Source organism: Homo sapiens, chromosome 17 (assembly GCF_000001405.40).
Source record: "Homo sapiens chromosome 17, GRCh38.p14 Primary Assembly".
Lineage (NCBI taxonomy): Eukaryota > Metazoa > Chordata > Mammalia > Primates > Hominidae > Homo > Homo sapiens.
Genome location: NC_000017.11, coordinates 15,743,022 through 15,764,665, shown reverse-complemented (window position 1 = coordinate 15,764,665; position 21,644 = coordinate 15,743,022). Strand labels below are relative to the sequence as shown.

The following is a 21,644-nucleotide window of genomic DNA, read 5'->3' as shown; positions in this document are numbered from 1 at the left end:
TACAGCGCTGACTCTAGGATATGGGTGCCTGGTTACCAGAGTTCTAAGTTCTGTTCGTGTGTGTCATCATCGAGGAAGTGAGGTCGCTTCTTTACGGTTCTGTCCCCTAGGCCCCTTCCTTCCATAAGACCTACTCAGGACTCCACTGGGCTGCTGACTACTCACCCTCCCCTCAGGTCATCTCCTGACCCGTACACAGTTATGTCCACCCAGGGTCTGCTTGGACACCTGTGCCTGATGTTCACCAGGGGCCAGATGTCGTCCTCAGGCCTGATGTCCACCTAGGGCCTGATGACTGCCTTGGCCTATGTCCCTCTGGGGGCCTTGTGTTCACCTGGGGACTGTATCCAGCTGGGGCCTGATGGCCTACTGGGTCTTGTTGTTCACCTAAGGCCTTGTGTCCACCTGGGGACTGGTGATCACCTGGGGCCTGGGTGTCCACCTGAGGCCAGAGGTGCACCTAAGGCCTGAGTTTTCACCTGGGCCTGATGATCACCTGGGGACTGGGTGTGTGCCTTGGGTCTTTTCCCTTTTCCTGAACAGGGCTTGCAGTTTCCAAACCAGACACAATCTCCCAGTTGGAGAAAGAAAAAGGATCCTAGATGATAGTGAGACAAATTTCAGGAAACTCCATCCAAATAAGTAAATGAGAATGAGGACAGGATTCATTGTAAGTAACATTCTCAGGTGGTGTTCCAAAGTTATCTTTTGCCTGGGTACAGTGGCTCACACCTGTAATCCCAGCTCTTTGGGAGCCCAAGGTGGGAGGATCACTAGAGGCTAACAGTTTGAGACCAGCTTGGGCAATGGAGTGAGACCCCCATTCTGAAAAAAAAAATTAAAAAATTTAACAGGCATGGTGGCATGTGCCTGCAGTCCCAGCTACTCAAGAGGCTGAGGTGGGAGGATCGCTTGAACTCAGGAGTTGAAGGCTGCAGTGGGTGAGGATCACAACACTGAATTCCAGCTGAGGTGACAGAATGAGACCCTGTCTCTCTAAAAAACAAGCAAGCAAACAAACCAAAAACCACAGACAAACCAGACCCCTCTTAGCAGAATACTTCCATGAGGTAATAAAAGGTATGTACCAAATGCCTACAACAAACATATGTCATGATGAAATGTTAAATGCTTCCCATGGAATTAGGTTCAGGACAAGGTTCCATCCACCATCGCATTTGAATTCCACATTGCACAGTGTAAACGGGCCTGCCCAAGGTCATAACATTGCACACTGGGTAAGTCAAGAGAACCCAGTACAGCACTTTAGATCCTTCATTATAGTTTTGTTCTAAAACTGCTCCTGTTATCTTTTGGACATGAGTCTCTTAAGTATTATCATTTGAATTCACGTATACTAGTTCATTTTCACACTGCTCTAAAGAATACCTGAGACTGGGTGATATATAAGCAAAAGAGGTTTAATTGGCTCACAGTTCTGCATGGCTACGAAGGCCTCAGGAAACTTACAATCATGATGGAAGGCAAAGGGGAAGCAGGCAATTTCTTCACAAGGCAGCAGGAGAGAGGGGAGAGCAGGGGAAACTGCCACTTATGAATCCATCAGACCTCATGAAAACTCACTTACTATCATGAGAAGAGCATGAGGCAAACCACCCCCATGATCCAATCACCTCCCACCAGGTCCCTCCCTTGACACATGGGGATTAAAATTCAAGATGAGATTTGGTTGGGGACACAGAGCCAAACCATATCATTCTGACACTGGTCCCTCCCAAATCTCATGCCCTTTTCACATTTCAAAACCAATTATGTCTTCCCAACAGTCCCCCAAAGTCTTAACTCATTCCAGCATTAACCCAAAAGTCCAAGTTCAAAGTCTCATCTGAGACAAGGCAAGTCCCTTCCACTTACGAGCCTGTAAAATCAAAAGCAAGTTAGTGACTTCCAAGATGCAATGCGGGTACAGGCATTGGGTAAATGTTCCCATTCCAAACGGGAGAAATTGGCCAAAACAAAGGGGCCAATGGGCCTCATGCAAGTCCAGAATCTGGTAGGGGAGTCATTAAATCTTAAAGCTCCAACATTATCTCCTTTGACTCCATATCTCACATCCAGGGCATTCTGATGTGTGCTCCCAAGGCCTTGGGCAGCTCTGTCCCTGCGGCACTGCTGGCATAGCCCCTTTGGCTGTTTTTACAGGCTGGCACTGAGTGACTGCAGCTTTTCCAGGCACATGGTACAGCTGTTGATGGATCTACCATTCAGGAGTCTGGAGGATGGTGGCCCTCTTCTCACAGCTCTGCTAGGCAGTGCCCCAGCGGAGACCCTGTATGGGGGCTCCAACCCCACATTTCACTTCTACCCTGCTCTAGCAGAGGTTCTCCATGAGGACTCTGTCCCTGTGGCAGACCCAAAATTATATATATCATTATAGTTGATATTCTGAGGTAGAGATAAAAGAAGCTATCAGTTTGATTAGGAGGTTTGGGTTTTGCATTTTCTATGGTAATGTAAAAAGGCAGGAGGGTTAGTATGTTACAAGTTCACTGCAATTACAAATCAGTTTCTGTGCATATAAGAAAGCACAAAATCACAGACCTAAGGTCTTGATAGATATGAAAGCAACCCTATGTGATATCATGCCCACATCTTTACCTCAAACTCTCACCTAAAATTACTAGTGAGGACTTTTTTGTCCTGCTGTTAGTATTTGATAATTCTAGCTAGCATGCAATAAGATATTGATATATGAATAGTAACTTGATTTTATAATATTAATAACAGCTTAATTTTAAACATTTATGTTGTGCCTTGTACTCTATGGAAAATGTACACTTTCCTTTTTTCTCTAAATTAGGTTTAATTTATTTCAGAAGTTTCTAGATTTTATTGTCTCTATTTAGCCAAAGCCACAAGAAAAGTCAAATTCATATCTTTAAATGCTTTCATTATCAATCAAGAAAGAAGAAAGTGAAACGAACAAACAATTTTACTCAAGAAACTAGTGAGAAATCAAAGAAATGTCCAAGAAGTAGGAGACAAGAATTAATCAAAACAGATTAACAGTGGAATAAATAAATGAATCCAACTGGTTCTTTGTAATGGAATGTAGAAAGACATACTCTATTCTTCTGGATAGGAAGATGAAATATCATAATCATATCAATGCAAGTTTTATGCATGCTCAAACATGTATAAACTAAGAAAAAATCTGAAAGGACAGACAGCAAAATGTTTGCAGTTTTTTTCCTCCAAGTGGTAAGATTAAAGGTAATACTTTTCTTTTTTATACTTTTCTGTATTTTCTAAATCTTCTGTAATGAACATGTAATTTTATGATGAGGAAAAAATAAGACATTTTTAAGATGCAAAATTACTTCTCGTTAATACATATAATGCAAATGCCAATCAAAATAATTAATAAATGAATATAATAAATATATAAATATAATAAAAGAGAGAGATGAGTGACTAGGGAAGAACTTCAAAAAGGGCCACATGGGAGATTAAACATAATGCAAAAGAGTAATGAGGAATCTAGGCCGGGCGCAGTGGCTCACGCCTGTAATCCCAGCACTTTGGGAGGAGGGGCATGGTGGCGGGTGCCTGTAGTCCCAGCTACTCAGGAGGCTGAGGCAGGAGAATGGCGTGAACCTGGGAGGCGGAGCTTGCAGTGGGCTGAGATGGTGCCACTGCACTCCAGCCTGGGTGACAGAGCGAGACTCCGTCTCAAAAAAAAAAAAAAAAAAAGTGTAATGAGGAATCTTAAAGCAAAAAAAGAGAAAATAATCTTATTCTTATTCTACAAGATATTAAAACCTAATGCAAAGCCTGGCTAGTAACTTCTATTAAAATTACTTTTATACTTTCAATAAAATACCTGCAAATTTAGAACACAGACAAAAATAGAAACTCCTCACATGACCCACCACGAAGCCCATCAGATGGCAGAATGCAGAATCAGGTTGCAATGGACTGATCTTAAAACAGATGAAGCAGTGGAGAAAATCTTCCTGGAGCTGATGGTATAATTTGCTTCTTGAAACAATGACAGTCCATGAAATAAGGTGGGGAAGATGTTTTGAACCTCTCTCAGCAGCAGATCCCTAAATCACAGACCCAGAACTTGGAGGAAACAGGAAACAGGAGGCCATCTCTGCACCTCTCCAGCACTGCTCTGGTTGGTGGGCAGAATATCATACAATCATCACGATTCTTATATCAAAAACCAAATTCTAGACTGATTAAATAATTATTTTTTTAAATGAGAAAAGTTATCGTTTATTTGATCTTGGGCTAGGGAAGATATTTCCAAGCAAAAAGGGTAAAAAGAAGGAAAAAGAAATGATTAACAGATTGGAAGGCAATAACAATATAATATCAAGTGCTGGCAAGAGCTCAGAGAAGTGTGTGTTCTCATGACTGCTGGAACAAATTGGTATAATATTTCTGAAGGGCAATCTGGCTGAATATGTTAGAAGTCTTTAAAATATTTATACTCTGACTCAGTAATTCAACATCTAGAAATTTTTCCTAAGTAAGTAATAAGAAAGAGTTGAAAAAAGTATTTGAATATTGAAAGACTGGAAAGAACATAAAGGTTCAATAATACATATATGTTCAACAACAGGGGACTAGTAAATATGAATTATTTATATGATAAAATACTATCTAACCTTAAAATAATGTTTTAAATAATATTTAATGATGAGAATATGCTGAGAAAAGTTTAATCATTTTAAAAAAGTTACATGCAAAATTAAAGTTAATAACATGTACAAGATTATTCTAATTTTTTTTTTTTTTGAGATGCAGTCTCACTGTTGTCACCTGGGCTGGAGTGCAATGGAGTGATCTCGGCTCACTGCAGCCTCCACCTCCCAGGTTCCAGCAATTCTCCTGCCTCAGTCTCCTGAGCAGCTGAGATTGTAGGCACCCGCCACCATGCCCGGCTAATTTTTGCATTTTTAGTAGACACGGGGTTTCACCATGTTGGTCAGGCTGGTCTCGAATGCTGGCCTTGCTGGGGTGCCGTGGAGTGGGGCCCCGCCCTGGTGAGTTGTTCACTGGGACCACCTTTCTGGAATGCTGGAAGGCGGCGTGGCAGGACCCACCGAATGCCTTCAAAAGCCAGTGGTCCATGCCTCTGTCTCCTTCGTTAGACTCTTCCAGAAGAGACTGGTCAGAGGTGCAGCACAGATGAACCTACAAAGCTGTTCATCAAAGCATCACTTACAATGGTGAAAAGGCAGAAGAATCACTGAATTCCACCAAGGTGGAGCAGCCGAGGAAATCGTGGGTAGAACACTAGGGAGTCACAAGAAACAACATATTTGAGGGGACATTTATAGCAGAGGAAAATGCTCATGATCTAATGCTACACAAAAAGGGCAGGATACAAAATAAGGTGTATTTGAAGAAAGAGGGTGGCATGGTTGTCCATCCACTGCTTTCAGGGACTGGACTAAGTGACCTGGATCAGAGGGAGGGCAAGAGATCTGCTTCCTGCCTGAGCCCTGTGAACAGCTGAAATCACTCGTGTGTCTGCAGGAATCATTCTTATATTTGCTATTCTGAGGTAACGTCAAACCTACACAAAATTTGCAAGAAGAAAAAACACCCTGCCACATACTCTTACCTACATTCACCCATTGTTAACATTTTGTCACATTAATTTTCTCTCTCATTTTTTTTTTTACACGGAGTCTCACTCTGTCGCCCAGGCTGGAGTGCAGCGGCGCGATCTCAGCTCACTGCAACTTCTATCTCCTGGATGCAAATGATTCTCCTGCCTCAGCCTCCCAGGTAACTGGGACTGCAGGTGTGGACCACCATGCTTGGCTTATTTACTTGTATTTTTAGTAGAGACAGGGTCTCACTGTGTTGGCCAGGTTGGTCTCAAACTCCTGATCTCAAATGATCTGCCCGCCTCAGCCTCCCAAAGTGCTGGGAATACAGGTGTGAGCCACCATGCCCAGCCTGTTTTTCACATTTCTATTTGATGCTCCAGAATTCAGGAGCTCTAAGAGGAGGCTGCCTGGGCGACCTGCCTGTGGTAAGAGTGGACAGGCTGCCTCCCGGCTGCTCCGAGGATGGCCCTGGGTCTGAGGGAGGGCATTGCACTCTGGCGTGTTTGGGACTGGCCTTTGGAGATGTAAACATGGAGCCTCCCTCAGGAACCCAGGGCAGGCGCCCCTGGGAAGAGGAATGGCTCCTTCTTTCCTCCCTCAGTCCCTTTTTCTGAATGCCTATGTCACTTCTGGGCACACAGGGGCTGAGCTTGCAGGGAGCCACTCTCCAGGTGAGGCTAAGGTTTGGGGGCTCTCTGTGTGCCCCATCTGCTCCAGCACTCTCTCCTCAGATGGGCCTCCTCTGTTCTCTGCTTTGCGCTCCCTGCAAGGAGTCCAATCCTCGAAGGTGGGAGAGTCCAGAGAAGAAAAGAGCCAAATGGAGGAAGAGGACCCTGGGAACCCTTGGGTGCAGCAGAGCTTGGGAGGTGACGCGTCTGGCCCAGCTCTGCTCCTCTCTGCCAGTTCCCGAAGCCAGAAGTAGGCAGCTCCCTTATGCTGTCTCTTCAGAGGAAGTGTTGAGTCCAACAGGATGGGGTTCAAATACCAGCCTCACCACTGATTCTGGACAAGTTTATTCTCCTTTCTTAGCCTCCGTTTCCTCATCTGGAAAGTGGGGCTGTCTGAGAACTAAACCTGAGAAGGCACAGGAAGGGATTCCCGTGGCTTCTGCAAAGAGCTCCATGAACACTCGCTCTCCTTCATCCGAGCAGCAATCCTCGCTGGGCCTCAGGTGCAGGGGGTAGCGGGGAACAAAACACCATCCTTGTGCTTTTACAGCTTACAATCCAGTGATTCTCATCATCAGTACATGTGGCCAAAGGCCCCTGGCTGACTTGTAGGCTGTGGGGTTGAATATGAGCCTCTGGGTGGTGTGGAAAATCCGGGAAACAGGTGGAAAGGGCAGCTATTCAAACCCTGCGAGGGTGCCAGGGCCATCAGGTTACACGTGGCAGCGCAGGTGAACTCAGGTCTTCTCACCTGGGGCTTGTCAGGTACTAGGGACAGAAGGCACCCAGATTCCTCTAAGGAGCCACAGGGCTGGCCAGGCCTTGAGAAGAACAGAGTGTCAAAGTTCAGGGGACTCTTTCTCTCATCCCTTCAGGAGCCGATGTCCCTGCAGGGCCCCCACAAAGCACAGCCGAGTTTCTCCCACTTTCTCTGCATCTCTTTCTGCCTTCAGCTTCCTTTGTGGTGGCCTTTGTTTTTCCTGCCCATCTTTGGTGGCTCTCAAATGTCATCCCTGCTCCACAGAGAAAAGGGTGCCGAGTGGCCAACCATCCAGCATGAGGGTCCCCTGCAGCAGCTCGCTCAGGCCAGGGTCCTCCCAGGATGCTGGTCCTGTGAACGGATGGAGGCTTCTGCCTCCTGGTCACCGTGGCCCCGGTGGGGAGGGGCGGTCAAGGAGCACAGGTGGGATTTGTGCAAAAGATCTGGCCCGTGGCTCCTTTCTCAGTAGGGGCTGTGGGCTTCCAACCTTCCCAAGATTCCCCATGCAGAGCCAGGGCCTAAGTCTCAGACCCCTTGGTCATCCAGGCCCCTCCAAGGCCCTGGGCCCGCCAAGACCTCTAGCCTTGAAGCACATGGTCCCCAGCTTATGTAAAACTTGGCATGAGTGAGAAACTCAACCACAGCAGGTGAAGACTGCCGCCTCTTTCCGGCCTGTCTTTCCTTCACCACACTTCGGGGAGGTGAGGGGGCTCCGGCTTGATCATCAGCGGGTGCTCAGGAACCTCCTTGCATAGGAAAGTTGTTTCTCACCATCCCAGCATGGGCTTGGCTTCCGGGAGCCCTGCCTCCTCCTAGGCTGACTCGCCTGCTTGGCGCCAGGACATGGGAGATTCAGGGCCAGGGGTGGGGTCCTGCGGTTGTGGGCTGCACGTAGATGGTGAAGGAGAATCAGAGTTGAAATGCATAGAGGCTCTCTAGGACACAGTGCAAACGTACTGGCAATCCACCCACCGATTCCAACACCTGACCAAGATCCCTGGATGCAGAGCAGGCAGGCTTTGCCCGTGGCCATGGAGAAACCAAAATCAGTGGGAGGGTCACTTCCCATCTCTGCAAACGTGCTGTTCCCAGGAGCTCTGTCTACCTTGAATGCCCCATTTCTAGCTCTAGGATTTGCATCTGACAGTGGGATGTGTGTCTATGAAGGGAAGACCACAGAATAGAATCTTTTGGGAAAATAAATGGTCTTCCCTGCTTAGCCTGCTTTGATAATGCAGATTTTCCTTGCACTTGGAGCTTTCCTTCTCTAGGCTATTTTCTATATAACAGTGGATGAGTTTGGCCACAACATAATGAAACACTGTCTCTACTAAAAATACAAAATTAGCCGGGCGTGGTGGCGGGCACCTGTATTCCCAGCTACTTGGGAGGCTGAGGCAGGAGAGTTGCTTGAACCCAGGAGGCGGAGGTTGTGGTGAGCCGATATCGCGCCATTGCACTCTAGGCAGGGCAAAAAGAGCGAAACTCCGTCTCAAAAAAAAAAAAATGACTTTTTGATACATGTATTAAATGTAAGCGAATAACAAACAGCATGAAAAATGAACTTTTGGGGGGATATTATGGGATGCAAACAAGTACTGAGAGCAGTATGAGGAATAAAACTCTCATCATGGCTTGGTGTGGGCAGAATCTCACAGTCTGAGAACAGCCCCAGTAAGCGGCAGTGGTAGGGCCCCTCCGTACAAAAACTGTTCTCAAATTGAAGTCTCAGTAAAAAAAAAATATATAAATAAATAAAAAATAAATAAATACTACCAAACCTCAACACAAAATGATTGGTTCATCATTTGATGATATACCCTGTGACCTTATAACATGTACAATTGTGTTATCATTCTATAAGGTTTATCATTTGTTAATTTTAAAACCAGAATAATTTCAAACTTGAAATAAGTCCCTTGAAGAAATAAATTTCAAAATGCAACCCCCTATCTATCTATATCTTTATCATCTATATCTGTGTTAGGCCATTTTTTGTATTGCAAAAGCAAAGGCATCCTTCTAGACATTCTAAATTTTATAGAATCACACAAATATTGACTCAATGGTGATAGGCGAAGGTAGACATTAATATTATTTGGAAAACAGTTTCATTTATACTATTATGAGCAAATTATTAGAATTGGGCTAGAGAAATATGAAGTCATCTAGGGAATGATTGTATACACAGTGCTTTTCACTGACGAAACCATCTCATAATTTCTGTTGTATATTTTTACTACAATGATAAATTATTGGTTTGAGTTTTGATGTGTTCATTAAATATAGGTTAATGTTACTGTCTTTTGCCAGGTTATACAAATTGTTTCCATTTTGCGTTTGTTTTGTTTCTCACTTTTATTGTTCTAATAGGAATTTATTTTAGGTAAACACAAGTATTTCATTAGAGAAATTTTGACATGTCCCAGGTTTGTTTTTTTTGAGACGGAGTTTTGCTCTTCTCCCCCAGGCTAGAGTGCAATGGCGCAATCTTGGCTCACTGCAACCTCCACCTCTCAGGTTCAAGCCATTCTCCTGCCTCAGCCTCCCGAATAGCTGGGATTACAGGCATGAGCCACCGTGCCTGGACAACATGTCCCAGGTTTATCTGATCTACAAAACATACACATAAAATCAGAGGAAAGAAAATGTGCAATTGATGTCACACATCAGGGATACCAATAAGGGTCACAGTGACATATTTTACCTCCAATTTGTGGGCAAAGGTGCCAGTAAATTCTGATAAGAGGCAGCAATACTTTGTCTACATTCCTATTAAAAATCATTAAGTTCTTTTAAAAGCTGGGAAGTGGCATGGTGGGGGGATGTGTAATACAAAACTGTAACTCATGAAAATTAGCTATAAATCTAGGCTGTGACAGGAGCAGCAAGAGTAGATGTAGCTTTTTTAAAAACTGTACTTGAAAATTATTTCATCATCATCTATAGCTCCTTTAAAATAATATTTAGTTGGCATATGTCTTAATAAAGGGCAGAAGTACAGTCAAAATAATTTTTATATAAGGTAATATATGTTAATACATATGGTTTATTCTTGTTCATTTTGCTTCAGGCTGTCTCAGAATTGTGAAATAGGTAAGTGAATGATAGAAATATTCTCATAGTTAAAACTTAGAATGATTATCCCTTCAAAAGTTAGAATATTACCTTACTTTCAGTTTCAAAGGTAAAGATAATACACTTGAATTTTACTTTGAAGAGTAGGGACCAATATGTCTCCACACATATTTTATTAATCATGGGCGTTTTGCCAGACTGATGGGATGCATCTGGTAAATTCACTCTGTGTGTGTAAGTGTGTGTGTGTGTGTGTGTGTGTGTGTGTGTCACTGACTTACCACATGTAATGATTAAATGATACATGTAATTACATTATTTATTTATGGTAATTGAAAAGAAAGTACTACTAAGGTAATTATTGACTTTCCTAATATCAGACCACTTATGCTCAGAGCAGGACACAGAACTTACGAATAATGCCTATTTTGTAACCCAGTATTTTCTTCTCAAATTTTGAATAACAATTTGAATAATTTAAATGATATCTTAAATCCTCATTTTAATGTAACCCTTTAATAAACAAAGAGGTAATGATAGGCCGGGCATGGTTGCTCACACCTGTAAACCCAGCACATTGGGAGGCCAAGGTGGCAGATCACCTGAGGTCACGAGTTTGAGACTAGCCTGGCCAACATGGCAAAACCCCATCTCTACTAAAAATACAAAAATTAGGTAGGCGTGGTGGTGGGCGCCTGTAATCCCAGCTACTCGGGAGGCTGAGGCAGGAGAATCGCTTGAACCCAGGAGGTGGAGGTTGTAGTGAGTTGAGATCGTGCCACTGCACTCCAACCGGGTGACAGAGCGAGACTGTGTCTCAAAAAAAAAAAAAAAAGTGATGATATAAATATTTTGTATTATTTAAAATAGTTCTTTTAAAATTTCCCCTTCACATTAAATGCAAACATAAACATTTTTGTAAAAATGAAAACATTGCAAATAATTCAAGGATCATTTTATCTTCTGTTCCAAGTGTTGCTCTTCTTACCAAAAGTAACTGTTTCCAGCATGATTTCACCTCTGAGCTCATGCTCTTAACCACCTTATTATCCTGACTTTATGCTTTATAAAACATGATATGGTATGCTGTATGCATTACTTCAGTTGCCTAATTTAAAATTATAGAGGGCGGGGGACGATGGCTCACATTTGTAATCCCGGCACTTTTGGAGGCCAAGGTGGGCAGATCTCTTGAGCTCAGGAATTGGAGATCAGCCTGGACACCATGGCGAAACCCTGTCTCTATAAAACAATCTAAAAATTAGCCGGGCTTGGTGGCACCCAGCCGTAGTCCCAACTCCTTGGGAGGCTGAGATGGGAGTATCACTGCAACCTGAAAGGTTGAGGCTGCAGTGAGCCCTGTTAGGACCAATGCACTCCAGCCTGGGTGCCAGAGTGGGACCATGTCTTAAAAAAAAAAAATAATATGAAGTAGGTCTTCCTAGCGTTATCATTTTAAAGATAATAAAATCAACATATAGAGATCATAGTAAAAACACAAGATTATGTAATCCCAGCTACTCGGGAGGCTGAGGCAGGAGAATCATCTGAACCCAGGAGGCAGAGGTTGCAGTGAACCAAGATCACGCCATTGCACTCCAGCCTGGGTGACAGAGCCAGACTCTGTCCAAAAAAAAAAAAAAAAAAAAAGCAAAAAACAAACAAAAAACCCCACAAGATTATTTACTGGACCACATCGAAGAGTTCAAGGAAAACTGCTAAGTTACTGATTTTGTCACTAGTTTTCTTTTTTCTTTACTTTTTTATTTTTGAGACAGCATCTCACTCTGTCATCCAGGCTGGAGTGCAGTGGCGTGATCTCAGCTCACTGCAACCTCTGCCTCCCAGGTTCAAGGGATTCTCCTGCCTCAGCCTCCAGAGTAGCTGGGATTACAGGTGGACACCATCACGCCCGGCTAATTTTTGTATTTTTAGTAGAAACGGAGTTTCACCATGTTGGTCAGGTGGGTCTCGAACTCCTGACCTCGTGATCCACCCACCTCAGCCTCCCAAAGTGCTGGGATTACAGCCACCAGGCCTGGCCTGTCACTACTTTTCTGTAATTTTTGGCATAATATCTACCTTGACTTATGTTAGGGTAAAAAATGAGTGATAATTCAAAAGTGTAGAGAGATGAAGTAGCAGGCCCCATGCTTTGACATTAAGAAGAATGGGGTTAAGTGTGAGGCTTCTGTGAATTGTCTCATCTATCTAGATACCAGTGATAATGACCTAGAGGCACGTTGTCCAATAGCCACACATGGCTACTACATTTAAATTTAAATTAATTACAATAATATAAAAATTTGGTTAGTCACACTAGCTACCTTTCAACTTCTCAAAAGCCACATGTGGGTAGTGGTTAACACATTTCGTAGCAGAGAGAACATTTCCAACATCAGAAAAAGCATTGGTGAATGCTTGTCTGGACACTTAAGCACACACAGAAATGTCAAATTGGGTTAAGATGCTATCAAAAGCTAATGCTTGGACTTGCCATTAGACAAATACACGTTATCAATGCCCTGCTGATATGAGAACTGAGAATAAAATGTGTGTTCCGGGTGGACTGTAATTAAACAGTTGAATGCCTGACTACAAACATTTAAATCTAAGTTCATGTATTTGGTGATTTGGACCTGGAATGTATCCTTAGTTTGGTTGAAGATGGAAAACATTCTTCTCTTTCTGACCAACTTATTAAAGATGTTTGAATGATAGCATTACATATATTATGCAAAATCTTTCTGAAATATCGCAAGATATATATAGTATAGGAAGCAACTACTATATGACTTTATTAGCATTTTCACTGCTTAATAAATGCATTTTGTATTACAAAATTAATAAGTACCCATATTATAATTAGGGTATTCCTCCAAAATATTATAAATAATAACACTAAACAACTACGGAAATGGAAACAAAGGGTCAGCAGTGTGTGTTATGGCATGAACATTTGTTTCCCCCAGAATTTATGTGCTGAAGATCTAACTCTCAGTGTGATGGGATTTGGAAATAGGGCCTTTGAAGGTAATTAGGTTTACATGAGGTCATGAGAGTGGGGTCCTTATGATGGAATTAATGCCCTTATAAGAAGAGGACAGAAAGCCTGTTCAAGAACCAAATCAGCCATTGTCTTGGTCACAGACTTCCCAGCCTCCAGGGCTGTGAAAAATAAATGTCTGTTGTTGAAAGCACTGTTTATAGTATTTTGTTATAACAGCCTGAGCAGACTAATACAGCGTGTAAATATTATATAATGACAACAGAATAAACAATGTGGCTAAAAAACAGATAACAAAAGAATCTGGGACCATTACATCCTAAAGTCTGTTACAACTAAATTAAAAAATTAAAAAATTTAAAATGCACTTTCATTATGTCAAAAGCAGGTAGAAAAAATAAACAATTATTTAAGAGTGTTTGTGTCCAAGCACATAGTATAAAATCTCTACACGATATATCATTAAATCTTTGTAATAAAGTAGTTTTATGCCCATCTGTCATAAATAAATGAATAAATCATAAACAATTGAAGCTTAGGGAAAATTATCAGCATTCCAGTTTATAATTAGTAGGTCTAGAATTAGGAAAATAATCCTAAATATGGTATAAGTGACTGAAGTATATTTAATAGAAAAATACATTAAAATACTGAAGACAAAGAATGTTGCTCCGTAAGCTCGTAACACAGCAATAATCAATTTACATAAATTATTCCAAATATTAATGAACGTGGAGAAATCAGTGAATAACACACTGAAAAATGAATGCCTAGGAGATGAAGTAAAACTTCGGTCTTTTTGGAATATTTAATAAATTCCTGCTTTAAACTAATGATTAAAAAAAAAAAGACAATTCCAAATATGACAAACGAAAAGAGACATACAAAGAGATATACGAGACATTTTTTTATGTCGCAAAATGGTGCATGTTAACTCTAAGTTGGAAAACACGGATCACTAAGTGATTTTGCGAAACAAACAACAAAATCATTAACACAGAAGTGATACCAAAAATGCAAAGGAGTCTTCCCACCTCTGCACAAAACAACAAAAGCACAAAAGTTGTTAGGCTGAGACATTTCAAAGTAAATTATTTTATTACCTCAAGAAAAAGATCATATAAAAGCTATTTATCAGTTCCAGGAAAGTTTCCAAAATGTTTAATCAAGTCAGCGTAAAAATGATACCAAAATCTAGGAGAAAACGCGTAATAAAACAAAATGCTGCAAAACACAGTTCATCCTCAGTTATATCAGTAAAATATCCTAAATAACATTCTTGCCAATAGAATGCAAAAACAGAGACAGAGTAAGAAAGGACACCGAGCAGGAGCCCACGAGGTTCACAGTGAGAAAACAGCCCAGACAGAAAGCAGCCCGGGGCATTCGGCCACGTGACGTGCGGTGGACCCTGCGGCAGGGACCGGTGGACCCTGCGGCAGGGACCGGCCAGGCTGCCCGCCCCTCAGCCCCTCAGCCCCTCAGCCGCCTCAGCCCCTCAGCCCCTCAGCCGCCTCAGCCCCTCAGCCCCTCAGCCCCTCAGCCGCCTCAGCCCCTCAGCCCCTCAGCCGCCTCAGCCCCTCAGCCCCTCAGCCGCCTCAGGCCCTCAGCCCCTCAGCCTCCTCAGCCTCCTCAGCCCCTCAGCCCCTCAGCCTCCTCAGCCCCTCAGCCCCTCAGCCTCCTCAGCCCCTCAGCCGCCTCAGGCCCTCAGCCTTTCAGCCCCTCAGCCGCCCACGCCTCTGCTCGCTCACCCGCCCGGCTGCCTTAGGGGTCGGCGCTGCCCAGCGGGCTCCAGGGCAGCCTCCTACCCGGCATCCCACCGGCCGCGCCTGCCACTGACTCCTGGCCGCCCGCTACTAGTCGCGCGCGGTGGGCAGGGCCAGTCCGGGGGAGCGGACCCCGAGAGGCGCCGCGGGATGGCAGGCGGTGTCTTCCAAACCCAAGCCTCCGAAAGCCGCAGCCGGGCTCGGGCCGCTGACCGACCCGGAGGCCCCGCTCTGTCCCAGCCAAGGCCTCCCGGAGCCATCACCCACCAGGAGTCCTGGGCAGGGGCACCACCTGCTCCACGCTGTCGCGGGCTTCTGCGAGGCCATGATCCGTGCCCAACGCCAGCAAAGGGCAGCTTGTGCCCAAGAGTGGGGGAAATGCATCCTTCCCGGGAATCTGAAAGCTCCAGGTTCTCCTGCCAGGAGCCCACGGCCTCAGATGGCGCCCAGGACGCGCCCGCGCTGGGGAAGCGCCCCCTGCACCTGAGCCCGAAATTGTCCCCAACAAACCCAACACCCGCAGGGCTGACGTTTGGACTCCGGGGTGCGGTGTCGATGAAATGGGCACCGCGTGCTTTCCATGCAAAAGACACGAAGTCTGGAGTTTATGGAATTATTGAAGGAAAGCCGCGCCAGTGCCAAGAGATCATGGCCCAGAGCTGGCAGAACTGATCAGACCAATGCTGAGCAAAAGGCCTGAAGAAGACCATCTGGAGGAGCATCCCGAGGGCCTTCCCCAAAGCACCAGATCGCCTTCCTTTCCGAGGCCACAAAGGCGAGAACTTCCAGAAATAGCATGAAACACGGTGGCTTGGTGACATCCAAGCCTGCTGCCACCGTGGTTTCCGGGAAGGCAGAATCAAGGCATGAAGTAATCCACGCCAACCACGCTCCTCTGAGGGCTGAGCAAGACATCGATAGTGGGTGAAGGCAAGTGTTTGTCCCAGGAGAGGCCCAGGGTGGTTGGTCCCTTGAAGTCACCCGCCAGTCTGAAGGCCCAGGGGACTTGAGCAATACCAAGAACTGGCCACGGTCAGTAGGGTAAATATTGGCATCTTACCTGCAGAAGGGAGGGATGCAGCGAGCGAGGGCAGAGGCTGCAGTGAGCTGAGATCGCACCACTGCCCTCCAGCCTGGGCGACAAGAGCAAAAAAAAAAAAAAAAAAAGAAAAGAAAGAAAGAAAGAAACAGAAAAGAGGAAGAAAACAAATTTATTGTCTTCAGTGGTTCGAAATAGCAAAAGCTGATTGCCAAATACAGTATGTGAAATAACTCCTGCTTAAATTGTTTAAGAAAGAAATGATATAGGGCGAACATAATAAATTCGTCTTGTGTGACATATTTTGAGTACCTGAAAATGCTTCTATTTAAAAAAGGAAAAGAAGTTTTGACTCATTTTGGCCAGCATTTAAAACACGAGCATGGCAGACACGGTTCTGCAGCCTCTTCCCCGTGAGGGTCTTCAGTGGCATTTACTGCAGTTGTCAGCTGATGCTGTGTCTCTCCTGGGCCTGGGTAACTTCAGGGACCTCCACTGACAGCTTCTCCTCTCCTCAGGCTTTCAGAAAAGTAACAGCCAACCAGGGAAATAGAAATTCTCATTTTAAACAATCTTGACAAATGGTAGAACTTTTACTGGTATTGCTCACATCTCTAGGTTTTTGAGCATTTTTTTTCCACAAAGATTAGATTATAAACATTGAGTCTATGTGTTCATGACCCAATTGGCCTCTTTGATACTTGAGTTGTAACACTATTCTGAGGAAGTGAAACTGTTGAAATATATTTATAAATACATGTATTCTTATCTATAATTTATTAACATACATGTTCCAGAAACTGAAATCTTTACATTTTGGCAAACATCAGTGATGACCAGTATAATATTCAATGAAATAGCTTCTTTAATTTTTAATCTCTTTCAATTTATGGCTCATTTGTTAATTTGTGAACATATTGTGTGTGTGTGTGTGTCTATGTGTATATATATATATATATATATATATATATATATATATTTTTTTTTTTTTTTTTTTTTACACGGAGTTTTGCTCTTGTTACCCAGGCTGGAGTGCAATGGCGTGATCTTGGCTCACTGCAACCTTTGCCTCCCAGGTTCAAGCAGTTCTCCTGCCTCAGCCTCCATGTACCACCACGCCTGGCTAATTTTGTATCTTCAGTAGAGACGGGGTTTCTCCATGTTGCTCAGGCTGCTCTCAAACTCCTGACCTCAGGTGATCCACCCACCTTGACCTCCCAAAGTGCTGGGATTACAGGCGTGAGCCACCAAGCCCAGCCTCCTCCACCTATCTTTATCCAGATGCACATAACTGTTATCCTCTGCCTGTCCAGTAATGTATATTAGAATTGTGTTGGTAGAAGGGCTGAGGCAGGGCTTGCTTGTCTGACATAATGTAAAAGAGTCTTGGAACATGTCCTGGGTCCATGGTCTAAAACCCCTCGTGGCCTAGGGAACACCAAGCTTTGTGCCAAAGGGTGGAAGGCTGCCCTGCTGCACTACAATCTAAGCCCAGTGCATAAAACCCCTTGTGGTTTGGAGAGCACCCAGGGCTCAGGGAATAAAACCCCTCGTAGCCTCTGGAATGTGTCCAGACTCGCTGGCCCCTTGCTTCTTGCTCTCCCAAGATCATAAATTGATTGTATCTTGAATTAGAAGAATCTATTCTCCCTTACCTCAAGTAGCAGAGCATATGCTAAACCGTCACAGCTACGCTTGATGCACTGCTACCTTTCTACCCCCACATCCTCATGTCATCATCTGTCTACCCCCACATCTGCATGTCCTCACCACCTGCTTCTTTGTTCGATTACCAATAAATAGTGTGGGCTCCCGGAGATCAGAGCCTTTGCAGCCTCCATACTAGCATTGGCCCCCTGGACCCAACCTATGTACTCTTGTCTCATTCCTTTAACTCTGCCAGACTTTGTAGCCCTAACCCCCAAGATCTGGTGTTGGGTCTGCTCACCCAAACAGATTGTCAGAGAAAATAACTTGTTTCTTTAGCTTCACAGGTCCACAAGTTGAAAGTGTACCCCCAGGAGCTGCACTAAATGATTTGTACCCATCTGCACCTGATTTAGAACGTTTAGAAGGTAAGATTTTGAACTTCAAGTTTATGATGTTTAGGGGCCATTTTGGACTTTGAGGTGATTAGATGATATGATTTAGATAATAATACTTTGGATTTGAGCTGATGATGAGATGAAATCTTTGAGAGGGAGTAAATATATTTTGCCTTTAGGGAAAATATGAACATTTGAAATTTAGAGGGAACTGTATGGTAGGTGATATGAAGATTTCTTCTAAGATTTTCTTCCATGGTAAACAATTACCATGCTGTGGGGAAGGCTGCGTGCCATAGAATGGTGGGCAGCCTCTAGGAGTTGAGAACAACTCTCCATTGACAGGCAAAAAGAAACCAGAATCTTCAGTCCTGTAACTACAGGAACTGAATTCTGACAAAAACCATTGAGCTTGGAAAATGGCCTGAAATAAAATAACAGCCCTGCATCCAACTTGGAAAGGAAAACCTCAAATTCTCTTTGTTTGCAGATGATACAATCTTCTATTTGGAGAAACCTAAAGACTCCACCAGAAAACTATTAGAATAGTTAAACAAATTTAGTTAAGTTGCAGGATACAAAATTAACATACGAAAATCAGTAGTATTCCTCTATGCCAACAGTGAACAATCTAAAAAAAGAAATTAAAAAAGAAATCCCATTAATAATAGATATAAATAAAACAAAACACTTAGGAATAAACTTAACCAAAGAAGTGAAAAATCTCTACAAAGAAAACCATAAAGCACTGATGCAGGAAATTGAAGAGAACACACACAATTGACATATATTCCATGTTCATAGATCGGAAGAATCAATATTGTTAAAATGTCTATACTACCCAAAGCAATCTACAGATTCAATGCAATCCCTGTCAAAATACCAATGATATTCTTCACAGAAGTAGAAAAAATAATCCAAACAAACCACAAAAGACCCAAAATAGCCAAAGCTACCGTAAGCAAAAGGAACAAAATTGGAGGCATCACATTACCTGACTTCAAGTTATACTACAGAACTATAGCAATCAAAACAGCAATGGACTGGCATAAAAACAGACACACAGACCAGTGGAAATTAATAAAGAAACCAGGAATAAATCCCCACACCCCTGGGCCCTTTCCTGTCTCCCCTTGTGTTCAGGGGTGGCTGCTGCTCTGAGAACATTAGAACTGGGAAGAGAGATGGAGCCACGTGCGTTCTTGGTGGGCATTATCCTACACTTTTGGATCCAAGTTAATCCCCCTTATTCACTGTGGCATTGCCTTTCTAAGCATTGCCCTGTGACTGCTGCTAAAGAACTTCTCACCGGAGGCAGGCAGTGGCCCTGGGCACTGCCCCTTGCATTAGGTTTTGTGTTTGATGTGCTCTTGTGAATTTACTTTGTTAAAATATTTCCATGATGGGCTTGGGAATCTCTTCCTTTAGCTCCCAATCTGCTATGAAATTCAGGAAAACATTTTTCCTGTTTCCTAGTAACCTCCTGTGTATGTGTTGATTGTTTCAAAGTGTGTCTGACCACTGCGGGACCCCCTGGGTGCCCCAGACTCATTCACACCAGTGTATGAAAAATCGCCTGCATTTCTGAGATGCCAGCTGCCCATTCAGTGCTTCACAGGAAGACACATGGGCTTTCCCTCTTCAGGTGCCTGAAGGGAGTGCTTTGAGCTGAGTGGTTTGCTGGCCTCCCTCCAGCCCCAGGGCCCTCCATGGGCCTGGGCTCCCTGGAGGGTCACTACAAACTCCCTGGAGGTTTCCTCTGGCACTAGGACCACTGCAACATATAGACCTGAGTGCTATTGTATTCTGGCTTGGTGTGTATGCTTTTCATTGTGCAAAACTGCTGCTCTTTTGACAATTCAAGTGACTGTTTTGTTTACTATAACCTTGAGAACAAAAATTGTAACAAAAACATTCCCATGACTATGCTGTGGTTGGAGATTTTATTACCAACATATTTACACCTTCCTTTTCCCTCTCATTTTCAGGAGCTGTTTCAGGCCTCCTCCTCCTCCCGTAATAACTTGCAGTCTTTCCTATGTTATAATAAAGCTACATTTTCTTCTGAAAACTGGCAGGTTCTCCCTTCCTAACGCAGGCAGCCGAAGAGAGGGTGTCAGGAGCCAGAGGGTGTCAAGAGCAGCCAGGGCACACCGGCCTGCATGGGGGCATCCCTGGTCCAAGTCAGTGGCCAGAGCTGCAGCCTGGCTTTGTGCCCAAAGTTTTGTCTGGGTGTCAGGAAGGCCATGCACTCACATTTCATCTCTTTTTGTGACTGGTCTGCTGCTGGTTGACCCTCGTTCCTCCTTTTTTGGGCAGGAAGGTGACATCCAGGATTCAGGAGAGCCTTCTGACTTGGGTGTGCATGAAAGTCACCTGAGGCCCTTGACGTGCAGGAATCCTTGCCAGCCTTGGATTGCAAGCCCCAGGCTATGGTATAGCAATGTGCATTTTGTAGCAAGCTCCCTGCGTGATTGGAGAGTCACAAATGGAAAGAAATACTATAATCAGTGGAGAGAAGATGTGCACAGCTATACAAGTGTATGGTTCTGTGACATACCACGAGGTGGGGGTGGACCTTTATGACATCTTCTCCCAGCAACCCCACATATTTCCCTTGCCCTCAGTGGGTCAGGAGTCTCCTGCTTGGCCTCATCTTCGAATCTGAAGCCTCTGAGTTCTGAATAGTTCAGCCCCCTACTTTTTTAGATGCCTCTGTGGCAAACCTTTGTTATCTGACTTTTCTTTTATTTGACAGAGCCTCGCTCTGTCGCCCAGGTTGGAGTGCAGTGGTGTGATCTCGGCTGACTGCAAGTCCCGCCTCCTGGGTTCACGCCATTCTCCTGCCTCAGCCTCCTGAGTAGCTGGGGACTACAGGCGCCTGCTACCACGCCCAGCTAATTTTTTGTACTTTTAGTAGAGACGGGGTTTCACCGTGTTAGCCAGGATTGTCTGGATCTCCTGACCTCGTAATCCACCCACCTGGCCTCCCAAAGTGCTAGGATTACAGGTGTGAGCCACGGCGCCCTGAGGACTGGCAGACCCATCTGACTTTCTTGGAGTAGAGGAGGAAGAGGAGGAAGAAGAGGTGCAGGAGGAAGACCAGGTAGGAGGGCTGGCGGGGCCACGGCACTCCCCACCATTGACTGCCCCAGAGGGTGACTCCAGAGGGTACCTGGTGCTAGAGCCCACCTGGGGGTGGCAGGTCCCAGTGTTTTTTTGTGAGTTCCTTCATAGAGGTTTGAAGGTTCCTGAGGACCGCGTTGTCCTCCAGGGCCCAGCTCTGAGAGAGTCGCTCCTGAAACTCCCAGACAGTGCTCCAGGAAAGCTTCATGAGGTGCTCTAGGGAGAGGGCGGGCATCAGGCCAGGAGGGTTCCCTGGGAGGGGACAGTGCCTGCACCCCATTTCTACCAGGCCCACCTCCCACTGGGTGGTGTCTGGTCCTTTTTGGCCACCCTGGGGTTCAGCTGTGCACAGGAGGCTACAGTTGGGGAAGGCAGGGCAGGGAAGTGCTCACCACACTCCTGATTTTCATCTGGGTCATGTGGGGGATGGACTCAGTGTCATCATGACTTGCCCAGCCCAGCAGGCCAGACCCCCCAACCCGGATGGAGCAGGCAGTGTAAGGACACTTCCCTCAGGCCAGCCGGGGTCTGTCCCACATGTTCCCCCAAGCACCCTCGGGC

General features: G+C 44.7%; 1 protein-coding gene and 3 long non-coding RNA genes across 10 annotated transcripts in view; 2 read left to right on the top strand and 2 right to left on the bottom strand.

Moving 5' to 3' along the window:
• Positions 1-67: 67 nt before the first annotated feature.
• On the top strand, positions 68-20,028 carry LOC105371559 (uncharacterized). Of its 6 annotated transcripts, XR_934268.3 has the most exons (5): positions 68-176; positions 544-670; positions 855-1,080; positions 2,822-3,234; positions 3,857-4,782. It is a non-coding gene; the product is annotated as an uncharacterized LOC105371559 (long non-coding RNA). The 6 variants fall into 6 exon arrangements; XR_934269.3 differs by lacking the exons at positions 2,822-3,234; positions 3,857-4,782 and adding exons at positions 17,899-17,987; positions 19,946-20,028 and having other exon boundaries at positions 89-670; XR_007065635.1 differs by lacking the exon at positions 3,857-4,782 and adding an exon at positions 5,421-5,627 and having other exon boundaries at positions 89-670; positions 2,925-3,234.
• ZNF286A-TBC1D26 (ZNF286A-TBC1D26 readthrough (NMD candidate)) overlaps positions 18,501-21,644 on the bottom strand; it is a 46,414-nt gene continuing 43,270 nt past the window's right edge. Inside the window, exons 21-23 of the long non-coding RNA NR_171000.1 lie at positions 21,150-21,299; positions 20,214-20,423; positions 18,501-18,588 (exon numbers count right to left, since the gene is read on the bottom strand). This is a non-coding gene — a long non-coding RNA (ZNF286A-TBC1D26 readthrough (NMD candidate)). The remainder of the gene's footprint in view (positions 18,589-20,213; positions 20,424-21,149; positions 21,300-21,644) is intronic.
• TBC1D26 (TBC1 domain family member 26) overlaps positions 19,882-21,644 on the bottom strand; it is a 12,508-nt gene continuing 10,745 nt past the window's right edge. Inside the window, 2 exon segments of one of the 2 annotated variants that reach the window (NM_178571.4) lie at positions 19,882-20,423; positions 21,150-21,299. Coding sequence is in view for 1 of the 2 variants with exons in the window: in NM_001388465.1 (NP_001375394.1) it covers positions 20,074-20,423; positions 21,150-21,299 (500 nt within the window). In the remaining variant the exon portion in view is untranslated. 2 annotated transcript variants of the gene reach the window in all.
• Positions 20,915-21,644, top strand: part of TBC1D26-AS1 (TBC1D26 antisense RNA 1) — a 12,725-nt gene continuing 11,995 nt past the window's right edge. The window contains exon 1 of the long non-coding RNA XR_001753084.3: positions 20,915-21,063. This is a non-coding gene — a long non-coding RNA (TBC1D26 antisense RNA 1). The remainder of the gene's footprint in view (positions 21,064-21,644) is intronic.